At 43.8% G+C, this 18,677-nt stretch overlaps 1 long non-coding RNA gene across 8 annotated transcripts in view, besides 1 other annotated feature; it reads right to left on the reverse strand.

Moving 5' to 3' along the window:
* Positions 1–6,526: 6,526 nt before the first annotated feature.
* Positions 6,527–18,677, reverse strand: part of LOC105372577 (uncharacterized) — a 43,176-nt gene continuing 31,025 nt past the window's right edge. The window contains exons 1-4 of one of the 8 annotated variants that reach the window (XR_937391.3): positions 16,271–16,352; positions 15,425–15,468; positions 12,931–13,019; positions 6,527–12,128 (exon numbers count right to left, since the gene is read on the reverse strand). This is a non-coding gene — a long non-coding RNA (uncharacterized LOC105372577). Of the gene's footprint in view, positions 12,129–12,930; positions 13,020–15,399; positions 15,469–16,231; positions 16,376–18,677 lie in introns of those variants that run through there. The other 7 variants (XR_937393.3, XR_937394.3, XR_937395.2 and 4 more) reach the window with 7 other exon arrangements.
* Positions 16,776–17,277: an enhancer, noted in NCBI's record as "H3K4me1 hESC enhancer chr20:24299151-24299652 (GRCh37/hg19 assembly coordinates)". NCBI's record gives its function as "activates a minimal SCP1, AML or CMV promoter by ChIP-STARR-seq in naive and primed H9 embryonic stem cells {active_cell/tissue: H9 hESC(naive and primed)}" and the evidence as "EXISTENCE:reporter gene assay evidence [ECO:0000049][PMID:30033119]".

Raw genomic sequence — 18,677 nt, forward strand, 5'->3', positions numbered from 1 at the left:
CGCCAGACGATCTGCCTGACCTGCATGTGTTCAGGAGAGCTGGGCTCCCGCTGCTCAACAGAGAGGGCATTGAGCTGGGAAGAAGAAGCAACTAATTCTGCCGTTTAAGTTCGTGGTTTTCTTTCAATCATTTCATGGCTCTGGGCCTCAGTTTCTCAATTGGAAAATGGCAACATTTGTCAATATAAATGTCACCTGTGTTTAAAGATGGATTATTTACTTTCACTGGATGAATGAGGGTTTGTGGTGGTGAGGTGGCTAAGGCAGTTGTTTAGGCTAGGAATGCCCAGTTGTCAATTCGAAGTTGATTACTTTTCTGAAATAGAAACTCTTTGATTGCTCCTATTCTCACTGGGACATTGAGTGTAAGTGTGTGCATGTTAGAAATCAGTTTTGGTTGGTTTTGTCCTTTTCTCTTTGTTTTTGTGGCAAACCCGGAAGGCACTGAGCATCAATTCTGGCTAGATGGTAGGGAACAAAAAAGTGTGTTGTGAGTGGGAGCCTCAAAACAGAAATAATGACTGTGCTCCTCATCCCAAAATCCCGAAACACTTGAAGAGGGCTTTGAAGTTCTTCAGAGAATGAAATAGGACCCCAAGGCTTTTCAAGAAGAGTCAGAGGGCACCAAGGCCACAGCTCCATGCCTGTTTCCACGCAGGAGAGGCCAGTCATCATTTCATTTAGAAGTGCTATATCACCAGAGACTAAGAAAACTTCCAGATAACCACAGAACCTCCAAAATATAGTTTTAAATAAATGAATATGTATCCTTAACAGAGTTTCCTTCTTCTGCATATAGAGTGAATAATTTAATAAAGTTGCTGACAGTGTGTGTAACCTCAGCCCTAGCTCCCAGGAGTGGCACTTCCATCCTTTTCCCATGCTGGCAGTGCAGTGAACTGAGCTGAATGGGGGAGATCATTAACAGGAAACTGGTAGCAGTTCAGGTGGTGAAGAGTCCCTTGGGCAAGGGGAGAAGAGATTGATGAAGAAGCTCCATGTCCAAACAAAATCATAAGAGAAGCCAGCCCAGTGTCAACAGGGCTGGAGAAGAGGGGTGCCCCCACGAGGGGTGTCCCCAGGCGGTAGGATAAAGTAGGAAAGCAAGGAGGGCAAGGAATGGCTTTGCATGAGAATGACACCTGGCAACTAGAGAGGCTGTTCTGACAATGACATCTGAACATAAGGAAAGGTGTTGCTGCATCCACTGCAGACCCTACTCCTCCCCAGCAGGAGGGGAAGCGGGGAGTTAATGGTACCTCTACCCATCACGGCATAAAATTACTCATGAACCCTCCTTTAGTAAAGGCAGCCATTTTAAAAATATATATAGATGCATAATAGACATGTTTATAAGGTCCATGTGATATTTTGATACAAGCATACAATGTGTAATGATCAAATCTGGGTAATTGGAAAATCCATCACCTCAAGCACCAAGCACTTCATATGAAACACACCTTTTAATACTCTTCAGAGCCACAGGAAGGTGGCATTCTTATCCCCATTTTAAAGACAAAAAATATTGAGGCTTCAAAGAGACGTAACTTGGCCAAGCGCTGAGCAGCAGTGGAATCTGAACCCGTGTCTTTCTAAGCAGAGCTCATGCTCTAATTCACGTGCCTTCCTGCCTTCTCCAGATCATTGAGGCAAAAGTTACCTGCTGGCCATCAGCTCACCGCTGCAGGCAGTGGGCGCAGAGTGGGCACTCCATGTGGCGTGGGGGCTCCACCTTTAGAGCAGGCAGTCACCTGCTACGTGGCTGCGTGCCTTTGAAGACGCTACTTAACTTTCAGGAGCATTGGCTACTTCTGTCCAAGGAGGATGACACTAAGACATCCAGCCTCACGGTGTCACTGTGGGGATTTGCAGAGATAATTACATGAAGGAAAGTGTGCTGTCTGCACAAAGCAAAAGCTCCATAAATGTCAATGTTATTATTTGCAGTATTATTGACAGTGTTGTTAATATTACATTTGCAAATCATCACTAGGGCTGGGCATGAGCTGAGGTGAGGGCTGATTTTGTGTCTGTGTGCTGAGATCTATAGACTCACTATATTAAATATGCTTTACTACTGCTTGGAGGGAAGAGTTGGTTTTCACAGAGGATGAGATTCCTTTCTCTAGATACTCAAGAAGAGGAGTGTGTGGCCAGGAGTGAGTGGAACCTGTCTCCATGTTCTGCAAATGCACTGTGCTTCGGAGCGGGTGTCTTCCTGTCCTCACCAAGGGAGTGGTGAATTCTGCCTCCTTCCTCCGGTCCGTAAGGGGTCGTGCCTTCAGCGAACTTCATGTCATCTAAATTCCTTTGACCTTTAATAAGGTCGGAGCATCCTCTATGACCTTCTTCTTCCTGAGTGTCTAGTTGCTCAACTTGTTAGGACAAGAACTGAATTTCTCCCAGAAATTTGGTATAGAGTGAACACTACATCTATGGAAGAGAAGTAAAAGGAGGAAGAGGACAAGAAGAATTCTGAGTGCGGCTGGGAGAGATGCCGGGTACCAGCTGCATAGGCATAGTGCTTTGAATTATCTTTTTCATTCCATGCTAAAATTCAATTTCCGTGATTTTACAATAAAGGAGCTTGGCTGCATGAACAACCAGCTTTACATATCAATATAGGGTCATAAATTTAGGGACCAAAATTGAGGTGAAGAGACAGACAGAGAGAAAGAGAGAGAGAGAGAAACAGTTGATCCTGACAGCACCCTGCAGCTCACCATCTTCATGATTGATGTCTCCATGGAAGTGAGCGTAGGAACCCAGTGAGGCAATGAGTGGGCTGGATTTCTGGAGCCTTTGTTGACTTAGGATGAATGTGCTTGTCAGATGCATTGCCAGCATGGGGTCAGTACCTGGGACTCAGGCCACCATGCAGGACAAAAGGCAAATCATGCCAGGAGCCCACACTCAACCAGAGCCCATCCTACCCTGGAAAGGATCTGGAGAATGTTGCCGTTCTCAGCCATAGGACCAACAACACCTACATGAACATCATGTTCAAATCTATCTAGGACCTGCCTGGTTCCAGGTAAGACATGCAAATCTGAGATTAGGGTTAATTAATGTTTTTAAAATGATTTTACCCTATATTTTCAATGAGCATTGTGAATTGTTAATGATCCTGGTCTTTATTTGAAGAAAGCCAAAGCCTAAATTTAATTTTGATTTGGAAAACTTGACTCTTGAACCCCTACTTCCAGTAGCTTCTCATCACTGGTGGAATAAAGTCCAATACCACACCATGCCTGGAATATGCTTTGTGAGCCCGACTCTGGCTACTTGGCCAACTCCACTCCTTCCCTCCCTCTCCTCTCTGCTAGTGTGTTCTGGCTGTGTGGAGAGACTGGGGATTCTGTCTTCCAGCCTTGCCTTAAATACAAATATTTCATCTCACTTCAGGGGGTTTGCAGTGGTTATCCCCTCTGCTTTGGGAGGCTTCTTGGAGAGCCTCAGCTGTGTATACTTCACTTAGGTATCTCCTCAGACATTCTTTGCAGATGGGCCCCTCGACCACTCCACCAAAATCCCACCATGTAGCCCTTGCCTCAGTTCTCCCTGGCTCTAGATTTTATTATCTGGTGGTATTGCCTGTCTCCTTGTTTGGCCCTTGTGTTGCATGAGCTGGACCCAATAAGGTCCAGATACCAAATACATTAACTGAGCTCTCCATTAGCCCCCAATCCCATCAAGGCCCTCGGTTTCAGGCTTTCTTCTGCTCCCAGTCTGGCCCTGACAGTGAATGCCCGGAGTAGAGAGGCTGGCATTGTCAGCTTCTCTGATTTCTTAGCTCCACCTCCTGTGCTAGCAGATATTCACAGCTTCAGGGTTGAAGGAGGAGGAGGAAGGAAAACCCCAATGTGACTGGTAGAGCGGTTGGCTTCCTCCCTCAAGGACGGCATTGCGGATCCCTCTGAGGCCTTCACACGGGGACCTACAACTAGATTTCCAATCATATCAGCTGTGCCTCATACAAGCCACTTATCTTTCCCTCCCTTCCTTCCTTCCTTATTCCTCTTCCTCCTCCTTCTCCTCCTTCCTTCCTTCCCTTCTTCCTTCCTTTCTTTTTTCTTTCTTGTATTATATCATTTTGTCATCTTCTGCATTCCATCCTGGGATTCCCCCAAACTTCTAAAGAATATTGTTTTGCTATTGTTGTTGTTTTAATTTGCATATATTAAGTTTCACTCTTTGTGCTATAATGATCAATGGATTTTGACAAATACATATATCATGTATCCACCATGATACCATCATACAGAATAGTTCCAGCACCCTAAAATTCCCCTGTGCTTCACCTGTTTAACCCTCTCTTCCTCCCTCTGAATCCATGGAAATCACTGATCTTTCCACTGTCTCTATAGTTTTGCCTTTCCAAAAAGTCATATACTTAGAATCATAGAGTGTATACTCTTTTCAAACTGGCTTCCTTCATTTAGCAATATCTGGTTAAGGTTCTCATATGTCTTTTCATGGCTTAATAGCTCATTTATTTGTATTACTAAATAATATTTCATTGTATGACTATATCACTTTGTTTATTCATTAATTTATCTTTGGAAGAACATCTTGGTTACTTCTCCCTTTTGGTGACTATGAATAAAGTTGCTAGAAACATTCACATTCAGATTTTTGCGTGGACATGATTTTCAAATAATCTGGGTAAATACCTAAAACTGCAATTGCTGAATCATATGGTAAGACAATCTAGCTTTGTAAGAAACTGACAAGCTTACTGCATTCCCATCAGAATGAGTGAGAGTTCTTGTTGCTCTACATTCTTATCATCAGTTGGTTTTATTGGTTTTTTAGATCTTAGCATTCCAGTAATAATAGGTATATTAGTGTCTCACTGTTGTTTTAATTTGTAATTCCCCAGTGACAAATAATGCTGGGCATCTTTCTGTGTGTTTGTCATCTGTATATCATATTTGATAAGGTACTCCATCAGGTCTTTTGCCCATTTTTAAAAATCGGGGTCTTATTGATGAATTTTACAAGCTCTTTTTATATTTGGATATAAATTCTTTATCAGATGTGTTTTTTGCAAATATTTTCTCCCAGTCTGTGGTTTGTATTTTCATTCTTTTAATTGTTTCTTTCACAGAGCAGAGACTTTTAAATTTTAATCAAGTCCAATTTATCAATTTTTCTTTCATGCATTATGTTTTCGTTTTGTATCTAAAAATTCATCACCCAATATATCACATAGACTTTCTGCTATGGTTTCTTCTGGAAGTTTTATATCTTTGCACTTTACATTTAGGTCTACAGTTGATTTTGAGTTAATGTTTGTGAAAAGTGTAAGGTCTGTGTCTAGGCTCAATTATTTTTTAATATGGATATTCAAATTTTCCAGCACTATTTTTTTAAAAAAATTCTTCTTTCTTCATTGAATTGCCTTTGCTCTTTTGCTAACGATCAGTTGAAAGTATTTGTGTGGATCTATTTCTGGGTTGTCTACTCTGTTCCATTGATCTACATGTCTATACTTTCACCAACACCATGCTATCTTGAGTACTGTAGCTCTATAGTGAGTCTTGGAATTAGGTAATGGTAATGGGAATTGGCCCTGATTTTGTTATTCTTCTTCAGTATGGCCATTCGGAGTCTTTTCACTTTCCACATACATTTTAGAATCAATTTGTCAATATCTATACAATAGCTTTCTGAGATTTTGATTGGGGTTATGTTGAATCTATAGATCAAGTTGGAAAGAATTTGCATCTTGACAATTTCAAGTCTTCCAACCTATTAATGTTGAATACCTCTCCATATATTTAGACCTTCTTTAATTTCTACCACTGGAATTTTGCAGCTTTTCCCATATAGATACTGTGACTGGGCCACTTTTGACTCCTTTCCCAGTCCTCAGGCTTCTGAAGGTCATCTCTCTTTCCTTAGTCATCTCTCTTTCCTCTTTCCCTGCAGTCCTACACCATCTCTCTTAATTCTTAGGAAATAGTTCCCTTCCCCTGCCATGGTGGAAGTCCAGTTGTCTCCCAGAGAGCCACACTTCTTGATTCAAAAGTAGGGCCATCTCCATACCCTTTCAATTTAGATTCCTCCTATGACAGTTAGAACCCATCTCTGTGCCCTGTACACTCTGGAGGATACCTATCAGATTTCTGGGTGGTCCAGTTGGTAACACAGATGGGAAACTAACTCACCTTCTCCTTCCCTTCCTGGAGTGAAGGTGAACATGCAACACATAGGATGACTCTCTCCAAAGTCATCCTATTCTTCTGCTTCTACTTCATAGCCTACATCTGGATGATGGGCTTAAACTGACAAAACAAGTTCACAATCTCTTAGGAGGTCCGCAATACACATTGCTTTAAGACACAGCATCCTTAACATCTCTTGTACTGAAGAGCAAGGATGTGGAGCCTTCAGATGAGACTAAAACAGAGTTTCAACATCCTGTTAACCTTGTCTAGTGCCTCTGTCACTGAAGGATGAGTGATCTTTCACTAAAGAATGGATACTTGAGGAAAATAACATGAAGAATGTAAATTATTGTCATAATATGACACAGAGAAGAGGCAAGTCAACTTGAAAAATTAGGGAGTAGCATAGGAAACAAACTTTAATCACAATCTTTTTGACAAGACAAATAGTAATATATAATGAAATAATAATGACATGTTCTGTTAGCTTCTAAAAGGGAGGTCCACGTAGAATTGTGGATTTCAGTCAGCATAATGCTTGAGAATGCCTGGCGGGGGAAATGGGTCATGGAAAACTTGCTTGAGAAAGTGACACCTGAACTGTGTCTTAAAGAATAAGTAGAATTTCAACAGAGGAAGGAGTAACTGACTTGGAAGCAGAAAAGAGGCAAAGGAAATAGCAAGAAGAAAAGGAAATAAAAGAGAATTAAAAATAGTGGTTCTGTCAGAGGCATTTGAACCAGAGAAACTCCATCTTGAATAGGGGCTAGGTAAAATAAGGCTGAGACCTACTGGGCTGTATTCTTAGGAGGTTAAGGCATTCTGAGTCACAGGATGAGATAGGAAGTTGGCACAAGATACAGGTCACAAAGCGCTTGCTGATAAAACAGGTTGCAGTAAACAAGCCCGGCTAAAACCCACCAAAACCAAGATGGTGAAAAAGGTGACCTTTGGTCGATCTCACTATTCATTATATATTAATCATAATGCATTAGCATGCTAAGAAACACTCCCACCAGTTACAATTTACAGATGCCATGGCAACATAAAGAAGTTACCCTGTATGGTCTAAAAAGAGGAGGAATCCTCAGTTCCTGGAATTGCTCACCCCCTTTCCCAGAAAGCTCATCAATAGTCCACCCCTTGTTTAGCATATAATCAAGAAATAACCATAAAAATGGGCAACTGGCAGCCCTTGGGGCTGCTCTGCCTATGAAGTAGCCATTCTTTATTCCTTTACTTTCTTAATAAACCTGCTTTCACTTTACTCTATGGATTCACCTTGAATTCTTTCTTGTGCGAGATCCAAGAAACCTCTCTTGGGGTCTAGATCAAGACTCCTTTCTGGTAACAGTTCTCTCCTTCGGTTTAGGGAAGAACAAGAAATTATCAGTATTTGGAATGGAGAATTTATGTATAAGAGTGATAGAAGATGAAAATTAATATTACAATGTAAAGTTAATCCATGGCCAAATGAATGAAAGTCTTGTATATCCATGTTTGGTAGTGTGGGCTTTAGTCTATAGGTGATGGGGAGTCATTAACGATGTGGAACAGAGCAGTGAGGGTATGAACCCAGAAAAAGGAAGACTTATAACTCAGTCAAATTATACACCTGGAGCAGTCACTCTGTTCCAAGCAGTGGGATGAAAACCAGAGATATATCAGAGGTGAGACAGACGGTATTTCTGGCTTGCAGAACTCTCAGGGTCAAGTTAGGATCTTTTGCTGTCAAGGGAGTAAGTGATCATGAGACTCTAGCAAAAGTATGGAGAAAAAGGGACATAGCCTGGGAATGGTTGGGGAAGAGGGTGAGTGACAGGACGTGGAACGAATCACAGACCAAGGATGACTGAAGTTTCTAGCATGAGCCAGACAGATGTCAAGATACAAGCTGCAGGAAAAATGATGGAAAGAATTAAGTAGGAAAAAGGAGCAGGTGGTGGATCTGTGATAACTAGATAAGAAGTCAACCTCAGAGTGGTGAGTCAGCCAGGGAAGAATTCATGATATATTGAACTATAGAGAGAAGGAACAAACATTATTTATATCTAAAGTGTATCTAAGGAGCAACAGAAATAAATTTAAAGAAACTTAGGGCGAAAGGCAATGAGGGATTGTCACAAAGCTCAGACTTGCACAAATGTTCCCCAGAAGCCACAGCTCACCTGCCAAATTGCCTGCTGAAATTTCCTCCACTCATCCTCACCAGCCCATCCCCCAGCCAGTCAAAATATGACCTGCAGTTTTTTAGTTTAGCCTGCAAATTCAAGGAAGGAAACAAATGATTCCAAAATCCATTTTCCACGTAAGCTAAATACAAAGTACAAGAGGCAAATATGAGTTAAGGACTTAGCCCTGAAGCTGTAATGTCTGCCTCTGCTGGGCCAACCATCTGCAGTGCCTTGAGAGTGAATGATGGCTGAGCATACCACCTCTCAAGCCAGAAAAGTCCCAAGTCTGCACAGTTGAAGTCCTCATTTCTAAAGCTCTTGAAATTTCTCTTCTGATTTGGGCTTCCGTGTCCTTGTCCCACCTCATCTCATCTAATCAGGTAGGTGGTTGGATCCACTGAGGTACAGAGGTCAGACGTCTGGCTAAAGCTGGGTTGAGAAGGGAAAAGGAAAATTGCAGAGGAAGCAGCAGGAGTGTGGGGGCCATCTCCTCTCCCCCTTTCCTCAGTTTCCCCTGGGGTAGGGTGTTCCGTGGAACAAGGAACAAGAAGAAGTTTCTACATTACCACAAAATCAGAATGAATATTGAATACAAGAAGATGGAGTAGACAGGGTCCAGATTCCAAAGCCACTATACCTTGGCATCTAGCCAGATGGCTTGGCCATTTCATTCGTCAACCATTTATGCTATAACTATGCATTACAAGCTCAATAAAAGTCTCAAGAGATGCTAAAATTTATTAATTCCTTAAACATTTACTTACTGAGCTTCCACTATAGGCCAGATGTTGTGCTAATTTTGGGGATAACATAGTAAGGAACGACTCAAACCAACAAACACCACCAATACAAGACTGCGGCCCTCTTGAGTCTACAGAAAGTCAAGGAAGCAAAACACATGCACAGGTAAGTGTAAAAACGCACAGCTGTAGTTTAAGTGCCACAAAGTAGAGGTACATGAACATTTATTCTAAGAGCAATGGGGAGCCCTATCTGTGTCCAATGCATGGGGACACAAGAAGGTATAGTATATGGGGACATTGCAGGAATGTCTCTATGGCTGGAAGTCAGAGAGTGCTGGGGGCAGAGAGATGCTGACCATGGAAGACTTCTAAGCTAAGCTAATGTATTTTTGCTTTATACCCAGGAAATTAAGAGGCATTTACTTTAAACAAGGAGTGAATATAACCATATTTGTACAACATAAAATTCATCTTGGTTGCTGAATGAAGGAGGGATTATGATCCCATAAGAAAAGAAGCAGGAGCCCAGTTGGGAGAAAATGCAATAGCTGAAGTTGTGAATGAGGATCCTGCTAAAGTCACATCAATGGGGATAGAGAAGTGGATATGCTAGAAAGACAGTGAGGAAGAGGATGGGAGGAGAGGGAAGGGGAAGGGAAGGGAGCGGAGCGGAGGGGACGGGAGAGGAGGGGAGGAGGAGCAGGTTATGGAGGGGAAGTGGGGCAGTGAGATTAGAGAGGAGGTGGTGATGGGTGAGGACATCCCTGCTTCTGGCATGGTGTCTTATGGGATGGTGAGCTTCTCTTTTAGCAAGAGAGGTGATTATGACAGAGAGAGAGAGACAGAGAATGAAGCAAAGCTGGGGGCTTCTCAAGTGTTAAAAATACCCTACATCCCACACACCTCCATTAACTCATCAGAAAACTCAAAACCCAAGACAAACTTCTGCTCCTCTCTGTAATTTGGCTGTGAGCTCCCTTTTCTGGGTCATGTATGAGTCCATGGGTATTTTAAACATGAGAAGGACAAAGGGATAAACCTTTATTTCTTTTTCCAGTCGTACTATATTGATTTCAGGTAAGTGAAATGCGGTGTCATTTTCTTGTATGTGTCTTGCAGGATGCCCATGGGTGATGGTTAGAGGAGATGATGGGTGTTGGTTGGTAATCGTGAAAGCTACACTGTGCAGGGATAGGGATGAGGACAGGAACCAAGGGTGGCATATACTGGTGCTTTTAGCTTCTTGGGACATTTGTCCGTATTTAGACAGGCTGAAAAATTTGAAATTTCCCTTGGTTAATTTTTTCAGGAAAACAAAAACAAAACAAGCTCCAATGCCACATTCAACTCTCAAATGCCATAGTCAGGTTGGACTTGTTTGGAGTCATCTCTTTTCTAGCACTCTGACATCTTTGGGATGAACTCAGCTTAGAAAACACCTTAGAAAATTCCTTTCCTCTTCTCTGGTGATTAATCAAGGGTTTTCCTTTCCAGACACTGTGTGGCTTCAGTCTCCTCCTTCCAAGTGCATAGGAATCCCCAATGTCCTCTGAGGCTTAATGCATCTTAATCAGTAAAAAGAACGATCATTAGGAATCATACCCATAAAATTGAAGCCACTTAATCAGCACCCTGATACAGTGTGCACACTTAATTACGATGATTGCCAAGACTGGATTCATTGTCATGCATGTTAACGACTTGCCTTGGTAGCTAACTGATGTCTGAGATGACTCTAGCGTAAAATGGAGAGCCAGCCAACCAGTTTCCATGGAAGGCTCCAGGTGCCAATGGACGATCCCCTTCCTCAAGAGGACCCTTGGGCATTTCTCAAAGATACTCAGGCAGCCCTGCTGAGGAAGAACAAGGATGGCCATCAGACTTTCAGAGGAGAAATTCATACCCCACGCCGTACGAGCTGTCAGACTGGAATATAGATTTCTTATTTAGAGACCGCTTTCCTCCTCTGCAAGGTGACTTCACAAGGACAACTTTCTCTGCACTTTGTGGAGTTTTCCACTAGGATTGATCTACAGCCATCGAAAACCAGAAATGTGAACTCTAAACTAAGATACCAAGCCTCTGCGGTAAACTTTACTCATAGCAAAAGGCAAGATGGGTCCAAGGCTTCAGAACAAAAAGAGAAGAGTTCCAGAGTTCCAGGCAGGAGGCTTTGTTTGGCTTCTGTCAAGACTCATACTTTGAATTTTGATTAGTAGAAAATTACAAAGTCTTGCTCAAGTCTTGTCTTCATTATATGGTAAGAGCTCTTCTCATAGAATTTTCTCCTGGATTTCTATATCAAATCTGCAAAGCTTCAAGGCAGGGAAGAATATGTTACAGGTATTGTCGCTATCTTTACACAAAGTTATGAACGAACATATTTGTTGGTTTGACATTTTACGTTTCAATCCCCCGGGTGTTTTTGAGGCAGATGTTGGAGGTCTGGACTTCAATAAACCTGGTGGTAATGCACTGGGCTGTGACTCCAGAAAGGAATTTTCTGAAGGCCAGAAGTAAACAGTGTGGGACAGCAGGCTGCTCTGCCCTCATGAAGGAGCATTGCAGGAGGCTAGCTTCTGAGTCAGCCCTCACTGCAAAACCTGGGAGCTGCCCTTCTCGTCCTGTCCATCTCAGACAAATGTAGGACATGGACTTGCCTAATTAAGCTCTGGTAGCAGACAGGCACCCCTGGCCTCTCCACTGCCATTTTCTTCTCTTCTTCTTTGATGTGGCTTGATAATTCCCACTCCTTTCTTCTCCCTACCTCTTCCCAAAATCTGCAGTTTCCAAAAATCAGTGTGGGCTGTGCTCACAGGGAAGCCACAACACACATACTCCGGTGTGTTCAGAAGAAATTCCTTTTCTGGCTCTGTTTCTAGAAGGTTTCTTTGTCAATATTGCAGGGATCTTTAGGGTTTGCTCTCCAGATACTAGACTTAGAGTTCATCCCAGTTGTGTGTGTCCAAATCATAAGTGGCAGATTAACTCAGGTACAAACCTCAAAGACTGGACTAAATGGATAGTTGAAACCAAACCTGGAGGCACAAACAAGACATTTCTGCTGAACTTATGAAATGTAGCCTCGGGTGTGTAACTTTTAGGTTATTTCAGTTTCTCACTTGAAAATTAGACACAGTCCCTAAGTGAGTACTGCTTCTAGCATCTGAGCTTGATGGTGCTAAAATCACCTTGATCTGGGTTGAGATGTTATAGGTACTTGCTGTCATTAAGAGAAACTTGATTTCTTCCCTTAATCCAGCACCAAGTCCCCTGGCACAGTTTCCTTGGGTGCTTGCTTCAGTGAGACAGAGGGAATCCATTAGAGCAAGCACCTCCAGCATGCCACAGGAGCCAGCAAGGCCCAGAGGGGAGAGTGCTGACGAACTCTGGAGAGAGTTCACCCAAGGGCACGCCATGTCCTGCTCTAAAGCCAGGTGGGGCAGGGATTACCAGGGGATTTATTAGGCAGGAATCAGCCAGACTAATAACACAAATGTATAGGTCTGCAAGCCCAGAGAGCAGTCTGTCAAAAAGCAAAGATGCCAGTGCACTGAGACATTGCTTCTGACCTGCGATCCTCAGGCTGTGAGTGGACAGCTGTAAAATGCAACAATCCCGACATCACAGTATTGAGTAGGGAGCCCACTAAATGCAGCAAAGAACACCTACTAAACATTCAGAAGATCTAGCCTCGAATCCTGTTTCTCCCACTGCTGACTCTTGTCCTGGGCAAGTCTGTCATTTTTTGCCACCCCCAGTTCCTTTATCAATGCCATGAAGAAAGTCCCCATCTGGGGGTTCACATACTCTATTTACATGACGTTCAGGAAGGCTTACCTTGTTCGAGGCACAGTTCTGAGAACTTTACAAGTGTTTCCTCGTTTAGCCTTCATAACAGCCCAGCTAGGTAGGTCCTATTATCCCCACTGTGCAGAGGAGAAAATAGAGGTACAGAGAGGTTAGGTAACTTTCTGTATAATACTCACAAATATAATAGCATTTATTTTAGGCTAAACCAGTAGTTTGTACACTTTTGTTTAAGTGCAAGACACACAGTAAAGAATACTTTTACAGCCAGGCATGGTGGCCTACACCTGGAATCCTAGCACTTTGGGAGGTGATAGTGGGAGTATCACTTAAGACCAGGAGTTCAAGACTACCCTGGCAACATAGCAAGACCCCATCTCTACAAAAAAATAAATAAAAGAATTTTACTTTGTAACTCAATATGCATACTGAAATAAAAATCCTACTAGCTTGTGTCACATCATAAATGATACCAGCTTGGTTGTTATTGTGTAAAAAGCTACCCCAAAATGTAGACTTACAATAGCTATTAGCATTTTATACTAATGAATTCTTCAGGTGAGGATTCAGGCAGCATTTAGCTAAGCAATCATTTTGCTCCTTGTGGAATCAACTGAGGCCATTCAATGGTAATCTGCTGGTGGACGGGTTAATCTGGAAGGTTTGTGGATGGCTTCACTCACATGTCCAGTGCCTGGGCTGGGCTGGCTCAATGCCTCGGCCAAACTGGATCACCAATATGTGGTGTCTCCTTGTGGCCTGGGCTTCCTCACAGCATGACTGCCTCAGAGTAGTCTCACTTGTAACATGGCTGTTCAGGGATCCAAGCCCAGGCTCTTGTTGACAAGGCAGATGCTGCATTGTTTTTATAACCCAGCCTCAGGAATCATTGCATCACTTCTGGCATATTCTATTGCTCAAAGTAATCACAGGTCTGCCCAGATTCAAGGAGAGGGAAATAGACCTTACATCTTGATGGCAGAACAGGGAGGTACCATTCTAGAATAGCACATGGACTGTAAGAGATTATTGCGGCTATTTTCAAAAATAGAGCACGCTACAAATACTTAGCCTCATTATATTCAAAACACAGATGCTTCTTGACTTATGATGGGGTAAATCCCAATAAACCCATCATAAATTGAACACATCATAAGCCAAAAGTGCATTTAATATACTTAACCTACCAAACATCAGAGCTTAGCCTAGCCTACCTTAAATGTGCTGAGAACACTTACATTAGCCTACATTTGGGCAAAATCATCTAACATAAAGTTTATTTCTCATGTAGTTTATTGAATACTCTACATTATATCCAAATTGTAATGGTTTCACACCATAATAAAATCAAAAATTTGCAAGTCGAAACATCATAAGTTGCAGACCATATATGTACTCTGATATATTTTATTTTATTCTGTCACTTTTTGAAAATGTTTGCCACAATACACTTAATTAATTTTGTCACCCACTCATGTGTTATGTCCCGTATAAAAGTGAACAAGGCAGTATGCTAAGCTCTTCCTCAATTTTTAATTTTAAAATATTTAATTCACAAATATAGTGTATATTCAAGGTGTGCAATGTGATTTGATGTACATATATATTGTGTAATGATTATCACAATCACCACCCATGTTGTATATTAAATCCTCAGAACTTGTTCCTCTTATAGCTGAAAGTTTGTGCTCTTTGATAAACATCTCTTTATTTCCAGCCCAGGCAATGTAAGTACTTAGATACTCCAAATTATATAGCAAATCCAGTGTGACTTAAAGGGGCCACATAACATGACAGATCCAATATTGATCTTAGCTCAGGCTAATTCCAAAGCAGATGTTCTCTGCAACCCTTCCTTCATACTCCCATGTGCAACATGTGATGGTTGCTAACTTCCACCAACGACCCAGGTGTCACCATGTGGCCCCACCGTGGACTGCAGGAAGGGCATGATGATGTTGCCCATGAGGTTGTGCATGCTGTGTTGAGTGCATGTGAGTGAGGGTGTGTGTCTGAGCTCCAGGACGTGTGGATGTGCTCCTCCTGGTGTGCACCCTGAGCTCTGACTGCTGGGTGACACAGACGTGTGTTTACAGCTGATCAGGCATCAGGGCTTTCCTGCGGCAGGGGTTGTGGGCATCCTACTCCTCACTAAAGTTCACCAAAACGCTGCAGGTCCCTGAGAGGCCCTCACAGCCAAGTGGACTGACCCCTGGCAGGTGACCAAGGTGTCCATCACAGGCAGAGCTCTGCATGGAAAATGCAATGACTGGTTGTTTATCCACCTGAGTCACTCATGAGCATTTTCAATAAAGGCTAAGAGAAACCACCAACCACATAAATTATATCAGATGCAAACTGACATTTCCTAATGGCTGAGTTTGGGCAAATATCAGCTATTAAGACATCAGTGTATTATTAGATTGGAGACATAATGGTGAGGCCAGCAGCTGTTTCAGGAGGGAAAGCATCTGTGATCCAGTAAATGTGAGAGCCCACCTGACCACCCATGTTTCATTCTCACCCTGCAGAGCTTCCACTCTCCTGAGGAAGGTCACTGTGTGTCACCTGGAGAGATATAAAAACCACACTAATTATCATGGAGAACAAATATGATTTCTAGCCTGTGAGGGTGGACAGGGGCTGCTGCTGCTTCTCCTTCTTCTTCAATATAATAAAGGCTTGAGCACCCTCTAGGTCCCCAGTGGTTTTCAAGCATTTGTGCAGTGAGGCCTGTCCTCGAGTCACCCAGGGCTGGAGCAGGTGTCAATGGTCTGGACCTCAGGACAGTGCCAGATCTCCTGTGCCTTTCTGCCTTTTGCACCTCCTTCCTCTCTCGCTTTCAGTTTGCTTTTGTTCCAAGTGTGCAAGCGTCTCTGATCATCTCCTTCCTCCTCTGCCTTGCTCCCTGCCCTTTGCCCTGGTTGGGCTGCTTGTATTTATGTGAGGAAAGGAGCTGCTTTTCTTGGCTCCGTGCGTTCTTCTCAAGGGTCATATGTTGCTGTGGGACATCACTTCTTCAGGTTCTACCTGAGCTCCTCTTCCTTCCCCCTCACAGGCAGGTGCTTCAGTGCCTCTGCTCAGAATTCACTCCATCTCCTTCAAAATGCCCCTTCAGATGGTAACAGGTGGTTGTGGGACAGTCACCTGCTGTGCTTTCTAACTCCACCCCACCCACTTCCTCCAGGACCAGGAAAACACACTTCAGTGTGGTGTTGTCAGATACTGCCCTTTCTTGCAACAGGCAGAGGTGCCTTCACTTAAAAGCTCTGGACCATCCAGCCCCTAACACCATCAAGCCCCCAGGCACCAGCAAAGGGAAAGCTCGCACCCAGCAGGGGTGGCTGGATTCCATCCTGAGGCCCAGCACCTGGCTATCTGTGTCCCTGGACATCCCATTGCGCCACAAGTTTTCCTCTTCTACAAGACCCCCTCAAGTGGCCCCAGTTCAGACTCCCATTGTAGATTGGGTTTTGGGTCCCCTTCCCCAGGTTCTAGAACACTATGCTAATCTCAGCCCATTGGCCAAGCCAACAGCCAGCCTGCCCTTGACAACAGCTCAGCCCTGCTCCCCATCCCGGCTCTGCCTGGAGAACCACTTCAACAAGAAAGCATTCTGGAGTCTGGGCATGGTGGCTCACATCTGTAATCTCAGCCCTTTGGGAGATCACAGCTGCAATCTCAGCAGGAAGATTGTTTGAACCCAGAAGTTCAAAACCAACCTGTGCAACAGAGTGAGACCCCCATCTCTACAGAAAAAAAAAATAGAAAAAAAATTTAGCTGGGCTTGGTGGCACATTCCTGTGTTCCCAGCTACTCTGAGGCTGAAGTGGAAGGATGCTTGAGCCCAGGAGGTCGAGGCTCCAGTGAGCCATGAACGTGCCAGTGTCCCACAGCCTGGCCAACATAGTAAGACCCTGTCTCAAAAAAAAAAAGACAACCCCCCGCCCCCGGAAACCCGGTGTCATCACTCCAACCTGGCCCTGTTGGCCACCATGCCTGACACTAGAGAAACGCTGCCTTCATTAGCGTTCCCCAGAAACAGAAACAGACTCGAGACAAGGAGCACACACAGGTTATTTCAGAGGTGCTCCCAGGAAACTGCAGCAGGAGTGTGAGGAAGTGAGACAGGGCAGGGCAGGCAGTCGGTGACGGACATGTGATCAAGTGGCTTCCTGTTGCCGGCAGCTGCAGCAGCGCTGGGATTCTTCAGGAAACCCTCTGCCTCCTGGTTTTCCCACCTGAGGGATGGGGGCTGGATATTGGCTCCCAGGTTCCTGCCAGTCATTGTTTGAGGGTTGCCCCTGGAGGGTCTTGGCTCCCTGGCACTTACAACTGCCATCCTGAGAGACCCCCAGGCAAAGACATGCAGATGCGAGCAACTGGGGGCCCGGTCCAGGATCCAGGGTGGGGGTAGGCAGGATGCTGCCTGGGCAGATGAGGCAGGTCCAGGATGGCTGATGCTGGATCAGCCTGGGACCCCGCGGGCCTCTGACTCAGGCCTCCCTGATGGGCTTGTTCACCCTGGGGCACTCCTGCAGCATCATCTTTCCTCAGCCACATTCCCCTCGACAGCCTCCAATTTTCACACTCTCTTCACAGTTAAGTCCTTTGGAAAACTGATGAAAATAGTTCATCTGTGGAAACAGTTTTAGTGGCTAGGCTTTCTTTTGTTTAACTGCTTTGAATTCTCTAGGGCAGATGTTATTAATGTGAGGATTTACAGAGTCCATGGATAGACTCCAGGCAGATCAGAAACCCTGAAATTACACTGTTGATCCATTTTTTCTAACCATGTGCACTTTTCTGGGGAGAATTTGTCTAAAATTATAAAAGGAAAGCCTGAGTCAGAAAGAAAATTAAGAAAAATGTAAGACCCACTGTTTTAAACTAAAACTAAATCAAAGCACACTAAACAGATTCTCTGAATGCACACTGACAAAACGCAGGAAGAACAGACTGAACCATGGGCCAAAGGGTGATTCTCTAACTCCAACAGGCAGCACAGTGCCCAGCACTGTGCATGCTCCTATGTGCTGATTAAATGGATGATCTGGGCCTGATCTCACATCATGAAGACATTTACCTTTTCCATTACTTATCTGCAAACTCCTAATGCCAGAGAGCCAACAAAAAGTAATATGTGCTGGTCAGAGAGGTTCATAGTACATCAGGAGGATTATGATCAAGGCTGGAATATCCAGAGTTGAGAGTAGACAGTCAGTGTCTGCATTGGTCAGCTTTTGCTGCATAACAAACCATCCAAACTGTAGTGACTCAAAACAAAAGCCATCTATTTTACACATTATTATTTAAGGTGGCAAGCTGGGTTGGGTAGCCAGTGGTTCTGTTAGGCTGGGGTGAGCTCAGTAGATCTCTGCCGGGCTTGCCTATGCATCTGGAGTCAGCAGGGCAGTTGGCTAGAGCTCATGATTTAGGATGACCTGGGCTGGGGTGGCAGGGATCACTGATGCTTCTGTCCATGGGATCGCTCATTCTCTAGCAGGTGAGCTCAGATGTGTTCAGATATTGATAAGATTCTAAGAGCACAACGTAGAAACTGCAAGTGCCCTTAGGCCTAAGCTTGAAACTTGTTCCGTCATATCCTGTTGACCAAAGCAAGTCACAACGCTAGCCCAAATTCAAGTGTAGCAATAAAGAACATTCTACTTGTTAATAGGAGGAGCTGCAAAGTAGCATGGTCATTTTACAGTCCACTGCAGTCTTCCCACTAAGCTCAGCACAAATCACCACACTGCAGAATCATGAGCTCAGTA

Source organism: Homo sapiens, chromosome 20 (assembly GCF_000001405.40).
Source record: "Homo sapiens chromosome 20, GRCh38.p14 Primary Assembly".
In the NCBI taxonomy this organism is placed as follows: Eukaryota; Metazoa; Chordata; class Mammalia; order Primates; family Hominidae; genus Homo; species Homo sapiens.